Below are 12,505 nucleotides of genomic sequence, written 5' to 3' on the forward strand. Positions count from 1 at the left end.
TTGGAGACAATATGTAACAATTTTGGTTGCAGGTGGAGACTGGCATTCACCTGCCAACATCCAAATCCATGCTTATCCACTTACAGTCCTGAGATTTTTTTCTAGTAAGTCCAGTGTATATATAAGACACTTTTTCTTTGTAAAATAGGGTCACATATGTCTAAGTTATGTGTGTACCATGAATCTGAGAGGATATATACCTAGCCCATATTATATACCCAGATTCTGACATATGTTAGGCATTCAATGAATATTTGTTCAGTGAAAAATAAATGGGTTATATTTGTAAGTTTTCAGTAAATAATTTTATATTTATACCTATGAATTTTAGTTGTTCTACGTATTTGTCCTTTTGTTCCCAAATTCACTTAAGTAATCTATTAATCTATCATACCATTCCAGTCTTAGCTCCCATTTTGTATATATATAGAATGTCTACTCATAATTCCTTGAATATACTTTACACTGTTAGTTTTTGCTTTAGCTCAACAAAAATGTCCTCCTTTCTTCTCATTCTGCCTAAAAATTTCTATTTATCTTTCAAATAAAATCTCACATACTTTTCCAACTGTCACTGAACACTTACTTTTCAATAATGATAATCATAATACTAAGATTGGATATGAAAGCATTTTAACATACAGTACATTCCTCTTAGTTCACATTACTTCTAATCATCATCTTCTTTAAGAAAAATCAGTAATGTGAAGTATGTGCTGAAAACAGAATTTCCTGTTTGTTTGTATTTGTTCTTGGTATTTTCTTCCATAGCATTTACTGCCATATGATATTAGATACATATTTTTTTCTAGTATTTATTTTTGCCTCCCACCCTGTCCTGTAAGTTCCAACAGGATAGAAATCTTGTATTGTTTACTCCAAATGCTTAGAAAAAGTGCCTGACACATTCCCAACATACAGCAAATACTTAATAAAAAATGGTCTGAACATTCCTGCCTGAAGAGCCTGTGTTTCATGAATGAGATCCTTAAATGCAATTAGATGCTTAAATATTGCCACACTGTGTTTGCAATGGGGACCTAACTGTTATCATATCCACTGTTACTGCTGATGTAGGACATAATTCATTCTTTCAGTAACCACCCTTTTTAAAAAAAGAAAGTCTAGAGTGAAATATTATTACATTATAAAACCACTTGATTCTAGAGGTAAAATGGAATCTGGTTTTATGCCACAATGTTTGACTCTTTAAACCTGTAAAGTGAGAGTCATTCATATATTATTCATATTGCTGTTTTTTAAAGCGGACTTCTTTTTATGATTTTTTTGTCAATGATCATTTGGAGGTAGTCACTCTAAATTCTAATTTATCAAAATTTTACATAAACTATAATACAGGAATGATAGGTAATTCCATATTTCCATTGTAAGATAATTCAAGAAAATATGAGCAAATATTTCATTATAGGACCCTAATTTTGAAGAGTGGTTCAAAGATGTGAGTATGGTGATGTAATATTTGCCAGACCCTTTGAGACCTCATTACTGTAAGTGTAATTTTAAGATGATAATTTTTCTCTTCATCCAAATTGAGGTAGAAGTGCATTGTAAGTAAAATTTTTATTTTATGAAGAAAGATGAACGGCCAGGCATGGTGGCTTATGCCTGTAATCCCAGCACTTTGGGAGGCCGAGGCGTGCAGATCACCTGAGGTCAGGAGTTCAAGACCAGCCTGGCCAACATGGTGAAACCCTGTCTCTACTAAAAATACAAAAATTAGTTGGGCATGGTGGTGCACACCTGTAATCCCAGCTACTTGGGAGGTTGAGGCAGAAGAATGGCTTGAATCCAGGAGGCAGAGGTTGCAGTGGGCCAAGATAGCACCACTGCACTCCAGCCTGGGCCACCGAGCAAGACTGCATCTCAGAAAAAAAAAAAAAAAAAAAAAAAAAAAAGATGAACAAGAAAGTCAAGAAGTGTATAATCAAGGATACAATGTAGGTTGTTGACTTGATATTTCATACCGTTTTGTGAACAACTTTAAATCTTCGTACAGTCTAAATTAACCATGAATCATCAGTAGAGACATTTAAAAATCTATGGTCCTTTACCGAAGTGTATTTTTAGGCTGCTGTCATTTCAAATACACACTCAAAAATCAGGATGCTGTGGAGACTCTAAAAAATATTTATGTTCTTCTAGCTAGGACATTGTACATGCCAGAATGTTCTTTGAAACTTACCAAGAAAATTTCAACCTCTTTCATGTGTTTATAAATACCTTATTATTCTAAAACTTAGCATTCTGGCATTGGTTAGTCTCTCTTCCTCAGATAAATGAGGCAATTAATAAGTTAATATTATCCCTATGCTAATCTATGTATGAAGTAGAAAAGATTCTCTAACGTTAGACAATTTAAAACAATAATTTATATTGACTTTGATTAGATTACAGGACCATTTAGTAACTGCCATTTCAAAAGTACTGGCAATTTTTAAAGGCCTTAATGGAAATAGAGCTAAAAGAACAGTCTTTTTTTTGTAATTATGACTAATAAAATTTCTGTTTGTAATCAACCTAATATAAATTCAACACACAATTAAGATTTAGGAATGTGTAACACCCCAAGGCTCTTAATTTTCAAAAGTCACAAAACTATGTTTACTCAAATGGTTTGACATTATTTAAAAATTGGATTCTATCTTATTCTCTTGAGGAAATTTTTGGGTAGTTAGAAGTTTTGACATAATTAATTTCTGAATATTTCACATTTATCTTTCAGATTTTCCTGACATCAATGTATCCTTTTGAGTATATTATCGTATCTCTTAACATTTCTGTTTCATCCTTGACCTGAGACTTTTTTTTTTTTTTTTAATCTTGAGATAATTCTTGGCTTTGTCAAGGCTACTGGTGACAAAAGCATTAGCAAGCAGGTAAGTTCTGACCTTTTTTGTACCTTATTTTTTTTTCATTATTTTACTTCTTTTTTCTTTTTGGTGATTTGTTTTACAAAATTCAGATATTTCTACTTTCAGCAATAGACTCTGCAGGAGTCTTTCGGTTTCTCAAAATCTATTGTGATAATTTATGGAGGTGTTTTACAACACACATACATAAAATACTGTGTGGTTTTATTTGTCTTAATGTGCACTGACTTTGCTATAAAATATATTTAACTTTTATCATTAGCTACAGCAGTGTATCTCATAACATTCAATAGCCATGCATAAAACATCTGATGATTACGCTGTTTGAAATCTAGCTTCAAAGATTGCAATTTAAGTAATTAGAAAATTGGTGGAATATTTTTCTTGCATATCATTAAAATTTTTTTTCTGCAAACTACAAAAACACATTTCTGAAAAGTACTGTAATTGATTGCCACCAACACATACCAAGTGTCACTTCTGATTCTATTAAAACAGAGATTTCTGTTAGTCACTGTAATAAAATATTCTTATGTTCAGATTCTGTGCAAATGCAATGTTTACTTTGATAGAATAAGACAAATGATATCAGTATATTGTCTATTGGATCTGATGTGTAATAACTCAGATGAAAGCTTAGCTCACATACCATGCTGCAGAAAAATGACAACCAAATCTGGAGAGTCTTGGGTTTTATGAAAAATTCTATCAATAACATGAGTCAGCTTGGAAGTGGATTTTTCTCTAATCTCAGATGAGAATATAGCAGTTGATAGTTTGATTTAATTCTAATGAGACCATGAACAGAGGACCCAGTTAATCTGTGGCAGATTGGGGACCCAGAAACCTGAAATGATAAATTTGTATTGTTGTAAGCTGCTAAGTTTATTCTAGCAATTAAAAAAAAAACCTAATGAGGGAACCAACTATTTCCTCTATTCCTTATATTATGGATTTGATTAGACTTCTCACTATGCTTGACAGTTGTATAGCTGTAATCAGTTACTTAATTTATAAGACTGATTTTAATAATTTTGAAAGTCAAAATTAAGAGAAAGGACCACAAATTCTTTTGTCAAAGAAGAATATTGAACAAATTAATTCACATGTCAAACAGATATATACAGGAGGACTATGGCAAACATTGCCTGCTTTGTGGTCCAATTCCAAAGCTACACATATCACCTCGAAAACAATGGTTGGGTCTTCCCTTTATATTTGTATTATGAAAAGATCTAATTGAAGTATCTAGAAGGCAGATATTGATTGTAAATTTCAGGATAGTAGTTTTTAGCTTCAAAATAGTCATAAGATTTTATGTTGCTTGATTTCTTATATCAGTTTTGGAAAAGTGTAAGATATCTTTTCAAATAGTCTTTGTTTCACTTTCTTTCCTCTCCGTCTGGTACTACAATTGTTTCTGAGAAGATTGCAGTGCATCTCCTCAATGACTTTCTGTTGTTTTCATACTTTTTTTAACCACATTTTTGTTTGTCTCTTTGTATTTCATTCTCTTTATGTCCTTCCATTTATTTACCACCTAATACTTTTATTCAGCTGTAAATCCATACAGTAAGCCCTTAATTTCAGTTATTGTATTTTTTAGTTCCACTTTCCAATTGATTTAGTTTCCATTCTGTGGCCAATATTATAATTCTGTTTTTCATATTTCTGAATTGATTAAATGTAACCTTTTTTTTTTTTTTTTTTTTTTTTTTGAGACAGAGTCTCTCTCTGTCCCCCAGGCTGGAGGCAGTGGTACAATCTTGGCCCACTGCAACCTCCACTTCCTGGGTTCAAGCAATTTTGTGCCTCAGCCTCCCGAGTAGCTGGGACTACAGGTGTGCATCCACCATGACCAGCTAATTTTTGTATTTTTAGCAGAGACAGGGTTTCACCATGTTGGCCAGGCTGCTCTAGAACTCCTGGCCTCAAGTGATCTGCCCACCTGGGCCTCCCAATGTGCTGGGATTACAGGGGTGAGCCACTGCAGCAGACCTGATTAAACATAACATTTTAAAATTGATATTTAATGGCTTCATTATTTGGATTATCTATGGGTCTATTTCTATTCTCCATTATTTATCTTACGTTTGCATAATCTTATCTGGTTTTCATAGGTATGTGCCTTTTTTTTTAACTAATTGTCAACTTTTATGAATAAATAGAGGCATCAAATTGTGTTATCTCCATCAAGACATCAAGAGAAAATTTTCATTCTCATAAACTGGATCACCATAATCCAACTGTAGAGATTAAAATAAATCAAAGCTGGGTTTACTTTCTATATTGACATGTCTGATTTTGGTTAATCCTGAAGCTGTAGTATCCCCTGTAGCTATCCAAACTAAAAGCCTGCGTAGAAAGGTTACCAATCCATCAACATACATTTTGGCAGGCTATGAGCCCCAATTTGGATCTCCCTACTCAGACAAGGCTATTCATCTCTTGAAACTTTTCTCTGAGTCTTCCTCTTTCAGCTGTCTCTTTTTGAATTGACAGAGAACCCTATGAGAAATGCATTACAAATCTTATATAACATCACTGACATTCCTCATACTTCTATATTGGATCATAAGAGATATATTTTTGCAGATTTTTACAGATTTTCTGGTTATATAAAAGATTATGATTTTAATTGCTTAGTCTGTCATCAGAGCAAAACTGGTCTAGTTTACACATGCTGTCTCTCTCTCACTCTCATGTATACCTACATATGCACTTATTTTATGCTTTTATGCTTATGAGGTATCTTTAACCATGGGTTAAATGAAAGTCCATAAGGTTACTTTTTGATATTTACCTAAGTGGTAGGTTATGCCAAGCATTTGTGATAGAATGATAAAATATCGTAGTTGCTTATTTGAAATCTCTACTCTTTCTATACATTTCAGAGTCTTGAGATAGCTGGAATAAATTTAAAATGAATGGAAACCCACTGAATTAGAAATCCTGGAGTTAATAATGGTTGATTACTATTACCAAAGTTTATTTGCAGCTTAGAGTGCATCTTGATTTAGCATTTACTTACTTATTTTTCAGTATTTTCCCTTAGTTTATTTCCAGTTATAGACATTTTGCATTACTAATTAAATTTGGTGTACAATACATACTGGGAAGAAAGGCAAGAATTTCATTTTTTTAAATAATTTAGCAAAATACATAGAATGTTTTGAATATTTACATTATCCAATAGAAAATAATGTTTACTCAATTTTTGTAGACCCAAATATGTGATCGATAGCTCTCTATAACAGTGGTGTTTTCTCAAACAAGTTTTGAAAGTAAAAACAAAAATGTGCATTCTTACAACAAACCCTTAGTATTCTAAAATAAACTCTCAAAACTTTATTGACAATCAACAATTAAATCATATATCTAATAGGATCCTCTTATTTGAACAAGATTGTTTAGAAACATTTTTTAAAAGAGTTTGTTGACAACAACAATATTGAGGAGATGAAAGGGAAAATTCTGTATGATGTTATAATTTTATAACTATAGGCATTCGCAATATATTCTTTTTGCAGAAATTTGAGTTGATATACTTTGAGATTTCTGACAGACCAAACCATGCCAAGAATCATCTTTTGCTAATAAATCTAGCATGTAGAATTTATATGTTCATAAATATTCATATATCTAAAACACATTTTTTCCAGGAATTATTCAGTGAAATTTTATTTCCTAAAACATTAATACTAAAATTCTTTCTGAGATGCAGTAAAGAGCTACTTCTAATTTTATAGCAAATAATTCTCATTTAACATATAATTTTAAAAATACTTGTATTGTAGCTCAGAACACAATAATACATATATAGGGTATATTTTATTTAAAAATACAAAAGAAAAACCGTGGTATTTTAGCATTATTTTAAATGTAAATTGATGTGTTTTTGTTAAACACCTTAAATTGAGTAATAACATTGAAAGTGGTTTTCCTTTATTATTTTATTGTTGGTCTATGAGACCAGATGGGAGGGTTATTGTTTGTTGTGTTTTCAGCTTTTTGGCTATATGATGGAGATTTACATATATATATATAAACATTAATAAATCTTATTATTGTAAGTTTGCAGTGTAGACTCATTTGATAATATAGGGTATAAAAATGATTTTTGGCCAGGCGCAGTGGCTCACGCCTGTAATCCCAACACCTTGGGAGGCCGAGGCCGGCAGATCACCTGAGGTCAGGAGTTGGAAACCAGCCTGGCCAACATGGTGAAACCCTGTCTCTACTAAACATACAAAACTTAGCCAGGCATGGTGGCCCGCACCTATAATCCCCTACTTGGGAGGCTGAGACACAAGAATCGCTTGATCCCAGGAGGCGGAGGTTGCAGTGAACCGAGATCATGCCACTGCACTCCAGCCTGGGTGACACTGAGGCTCCATTTAAAAAAAAAGAAAAAGAAAAAGAAAAAGAATTCCCTAAAATGGACCCTCCTTTGTCACTCAAAAAAGTCATCATTTTACAACAGCAACATTTTGTTTCCAGAATATTATGTATATTCCAAAAAAACAAAACACTGACACAATAACTCTATCTTTATAAATGATAGGAGTGATGTCAGCATCAGAGTGAGCAAATTCTGTCTCAATATTCAAGGTCATTTTGGGCTGAGGGAATACGGGCATTAGACAGATTCATTCAGCAAAAATATTTTTGCTTCTCTGATTCAGGCAAAGATAAGAACTGAAACATGATTATAGTTCAGATCATTTGTATTTTATTCAAATAAACACACCTTTTTCTCCTGAAAATAGGCTAATTTCAAAAAACAATTTTAGTATAGTTATAGGTAATTTACTCAGTTACTATTGAGTTAATATACACAGGATAACATGTTGATCCTTAGGGATGAATTATATTTCTCTAGTATGTAGTCTAGACTTACAATGTCTCCCTTCAATTGTCTTCCAAACTAAGTGTTTTTAATCAGAAAATGAACTGTTGACAGTATGTATAGCAATGTATTGATGCAAATACATCACTCAAGGGAAAGCAAGTCATGGTAGTGCAAAGGTAGAACCTTGTGATGCTATATACTTAGAAAATAAAGCATATTCATTGTTACTGATGTTATCTATGACCTGAAATTTATAGTTTCTAGAACAATATTCCCTCTACTTCGCTCCTATTTTACTAAAGAATATTAATTAGGGACCAAAACATCTTCAAATTGTCTGGAAAAAAATTAAAGGTCACAGGTTGTAGATATATAATCTTATTTTCTAAGAATTCAAGGTTAGTTGTATTTGTTATTTGGAAACCCTTTCTAGGAATGTTTTAATGAAAATGATAGCTATGAAATAAATATTTATGTGAATTAAAAATGTTTAAATTTGACTATCAGTAACTTCCATTCAGTTCAGAAAACCTACTGTGAACCCACTTATCTTCCCTTTGAGAAGCTGTTTCTTAAATGGATTCATGTTATCCTGTGAACTTCGCTCAGCAGCGTTATAAACATTACCCTTAGTTTAAACAGAAAATGCCATTAGAAAAATACTAACAAAAGAGGATGACTCTGGTGGTATTATGTTACATATTTGTGTTAATGGAAAGAAAATTAAACTGGAAAACAAATACATATAGAAAAAAATCAGTTAAATCAACCATAAAAAGATAAATTTGAAATTTCCCAAATATTTTATGCCATTAGATTGCTTAGAAATCTTATTCATTAGAAAAGTAGGATTTTTGTTAAAAGAAGTGGGTATGTTCTGATTGACTTTATTTCAAAGTAGTATTATATTCTATGTACTTATATACTAAAACTAATATAAAATTTACACTTGTGTGAAATTAGATACATACAAAACTAGCTGCTTTTCCACTTAGAGTGACATTATTTTTTAACAATTTTATTTGGATATAACTGATATACAAAGAACAGCACACATTTAATATATACAATTGATGCATTTGGACATATGTAAACATCCATGATACCATCATCACAGTAAAGATAATAGACCTATCAACACCTCACAAAGTTTCTTTGTGTCCTCTGTTGTTGTTTTTTCTTTTGTAGTAAGAAAACTTACCATGAGATCTACTCTCTTGACAAATTTCAAAGTGCAAAACACCACATTTCTAACTATAGGCACTATGTTTAGAGTAGATCTCTAGAGCTTTTTCTTCACGTATAACTGTCAATGTATAATCATTGAACAACTTCCCACTTCCCCCACTGCACAGCACCTGTCAGCCACTATTGTATTCTCTGCTTCTGTATTCAAGCTTCTGTGAGTTTGACTATTATATAAGACTTACCTACCTGGATTGCAGTATTTGTCCTTCTGTGACTGGTGTATTTCACTTAGTATAATGTCCCTCAAGTCATTCACGTTGTCACATTTGGCAGGTTATCATTTTTAAGGCTGAAAAATAGTCCATTGTATATGTATACCATCGTTTCTTTATCCATTCATCTGTTGATGGGCATTTAGGTTGATTTCATATCTTGGCTATTGTGAATAATGCTTCAATAAACATGATAGTGTAAATATGGCTTCAAGATATTGATTCCAATTATTTTGGATATATACTTAAAAATGGGATTGCTGAATCATATAGAAGTTACGTTTTTAATTCTTTGAGGAGCCTTCACACTGTTTTCCATAGTTGCTGCACAATTTTACATTGTCACTAACAGTGTACAGGGTTCCAATTTCTCCACATTCTCACTAACATTTTTTAAAATAAATTAATGGCTCTCCTGACAGGTGTGAGGTGACTTATTTTGTAGTTTGATTTGCACTTCCTGAATCATTAGTGATGTTGAGTATCTTTTTATGTACCTGCTGGCCATTTATATGTCTTCTTTGCACTTTGCAGAAATATCTATTCAAGTTCCTTGTGTTATTTTCATTGCATTTGTTTGTTTGTTTGTTTGAGACAGTCTCCTTCTGTCACTCAGGCTGCACTCCAGTGGTGTGATCTCTGCTCACTGCAATCTCCACCTCCCAGGTTTAAGTGATTCTCCTACCTCAGCCTCCTGAGTAGCTGGTATTACAGGTGCCCACCACCATGCCTGGCTAATTTTTGTATTTTTAGTAGAAATGGGGTTTCACCATGTTGGCCAGGCTTTAATCTATTTTGAATTGGTTTTGTGTATGGTGTAAAATAAGGGTCCAATTTCATTTGTTTGCATGTAGATACCTCATTTTTTTATTATACTTTAAGTTCTGGGATACATGTGCAGAACCTGCAGGTTTGTTACATAGGTATACATGGGCCATGGTGGTTTGCTGCACATATCAACCCATCATGTACATTAGGTATTTCTACTAATGCTATCCCTTTTCAGCCCCCAACCTGCTGACAGGCCCCGGTGCATGATGTTCCCCTCCTTGTGTCCATGTGTTCTTATTGTTCAAATCCCACTTATGAGTGAGAACATGTGGTGTTTGATTTTCTGTTTCTGTGTTAGTTTGCTGAGAATGACGGTTTCCAACTTCATCCCAGTCCCTGCAAAGGACATGAACTCATCATTTTTATGGCTGCATAGTATTCCATGGTGTATATGTGCCACATTTTCTTTATCCAGTCTATCATTGATGGGCATTTGGGTTGTTTCCAAGTCTTTGCGATTGTGAATAGTGCTGCAATAAACATACTTGTCCATTTGTATTTATAGTAGGATGATTTATAATCCTTTGGGTATGTGCTCAGTAATGGGATTTTGCTGGGTCTAATGGTATTTCTGGTTCAAGATCCCTGAGGAATCGCCGCACTGTCTTCCACAATGGTTGAACTAATTTACACTCCCACCAACAGTGTAAAAGCGTTCCTATTTCTCCACAGCCTCTCCAGCATCTGTTGTTTCCTGACTTTTAATTATTGCCATTCGAACTGGCATGAGATGGTATCTCATTTTGGTTTTGATTTGCATTGCTCTAATAACCAGTGATGATGAGCTTTTTTTTTTTTCATGTTTTTTGGCTGCATAAATGTCTTCTTTTGAAAAGTGTCTTTCCATAGTCTTCACCCACTTTTTGATTTTTTTTTCCTTGTAAATTTGTTTAAGTTCCTTTTAGATTCTGGATATTAGCCCTTTGTCAGATGAATAGATTGCAAAAATTTTCTCCCATTCTGTAGGTTGCCTGTTCACTCTGATGATAATTTCTTTTGCTGTGCAGAAGCTCTTTAGTTTAATTAGATCCCATTTGTCAATTTTGGCTTTTGTTGCAATTGCTTTTGGTGTTTTAGTCATAAAGTCTTTGCCCGTGCCTATGTCCTGAATGGTATTGCCTAGGTTTTCTTCTAGGGCTTTTATGATTTTTAGGTCTTAGGTTTAAGTCTTTAACCTGAAAACCAACAAACAGAAAGGAATAACATCAACATCATCAAAAAGGACATTCACACAAAAACCCCACCTGAAGGTCACCAGCATCAAAGACCAAAGGTAGATAAATCCATGAACATGAGGGAAAACCCACGCAAAAAGGCTGAAAACTCCATGATACCTGATATTCTTCATGCCATTTGTTGAAGAGAGTATCCATTCCCTACTGTGTATTCTTGGCATCTGTGTCACAGGTCACTTGTCCATATATATGGGTTTATTTCTGGGCTCTCCATTCTGTTCTGTTTGTTTATATGTTTGTCTTTATGCTTGTACCATACTGTTTTATTACTGTAGCTCTATAATATATTTTGAAATCAGGAAGTGTGATACCTTCAGCTTTGTTCCTCTGTCTCAAGATTTCTGTGGGTGTTTTGGATCTTTTGTAGTTCCATATGAATTTCAAATTGCTTTTATATTTTAAAAAATGCCATTGGGAATTTGATGGCAATAAATTTAAATCTGTAGATTACTTTGTTTAGTGTGGATACCCGATCAATATTGTCATTCAATCCATGAACACAGAGGAAGTTTTTTATTTATTTGTGTCTTTAATTTTTTTCATCAATGTTTTATAGTTATCAAGAAGCAAGTATTTCACTTTCTTGGTCACGTTTATTACCAAGCATTTTATTCTTTCTGACGCCATTGTACATGGGATTGTTTTCTTAATTTCCTTTTCAGATGCTTTACTTTTAGTGAATAGAAATGCAGTGGATTTGTGTACATTGATTTGGTATCCTGAAACCTTACTGAATTTGTTTATTTGTTCTAAGTTTTTATTTGAGGAACCTTTAGGGTGGTTCAACGTCATATACAAATTAGCAAATGCAATATACCACATTAATAGAATGAAGGATAAAAATAACAAGATAATGTAAATAAATACAAAAAAAGTATTTGACAAAATTCAATACCTTTTCATGATAAAAACACACAACAGCTAGGTTTAGAAAGCAAGTACATCAACATAATAAAGTTCATGTATGACAAGCCCACAATAAACATCATCCTCAATGGAGAAAATGTGAAAGCTTTTCCTATAAGATGAGGAATAAGATGAGGATGCTTACCTTCACCTCTTCTGTTCAGCATAGTACTGCAGAAGCCCTAGGAAGAGCAATTAGGCAAGAAAAATAAATGAAAGGCATAAAAACCAGAAAGGATGAGATAACATTTTCTCTGTTTATAGAATACATGAGGCTATATGTAAAAAAGATTGTGATTTGGCCTGGCAAGGTGGCTCACGCCTCTAATC

General features: G+C 33.1%; 2 long non-coding RNA genes across 5 annotated transcripts in view; one reads left to right on the plus strand and one right to left on the minus strand.

Annotated features, from left to right (window-relative positions):
- Positions 1-12,505, plus strand: part of LOC124904475 (uncharacterized) — a 765,263-nt gene that overhangs the window by 692,675 nt on the left and 60,083 nt on the right. Inside the window, exon 7 of the long non-coding RNA XR_007066777.1 lies at positions 2,744-2,897. This is a non-coding gene — a long non-coding RNA (uncharacterized LOC124904475). The remainder of the gene's footprint in view (positions 1-2,743; positions 2,898-12,505) is intronic.
- The window catches only part of LOC107985242 (uncharacterized), a 199,987-nt gene continuing 198,376 nt past the window's right edge, over positions 10,895-12,505 (minus strand). For 3 of the 4 annotated variants that reach the window (XR_001738356.2, XR_001738353.2, XR_001738352.2), the window contains one exon: positions 12,196-12,357. This is a non-coding gene — a long non-coding RNA (uncharacterized LOC107985242). Of the gene's footprint in view, positions 12,358-12,505 lie in introns of all 4 variants that reach the window. The other variant, XR_001738351.2, reaches the window with a different exon arrangement.

Source organism: Homo sapiens, chromosome 1 (genome assembly GCF_000001405.40).
Source record: "Homo sapiens chromosome 1, GRCh38.p14 Primary Assembly".
Lineage (NCBI taxonomy): Eukaryota > Metazoa > Chordata > Mammalia > Primates > Hominidae > Homo > Homo sapiens.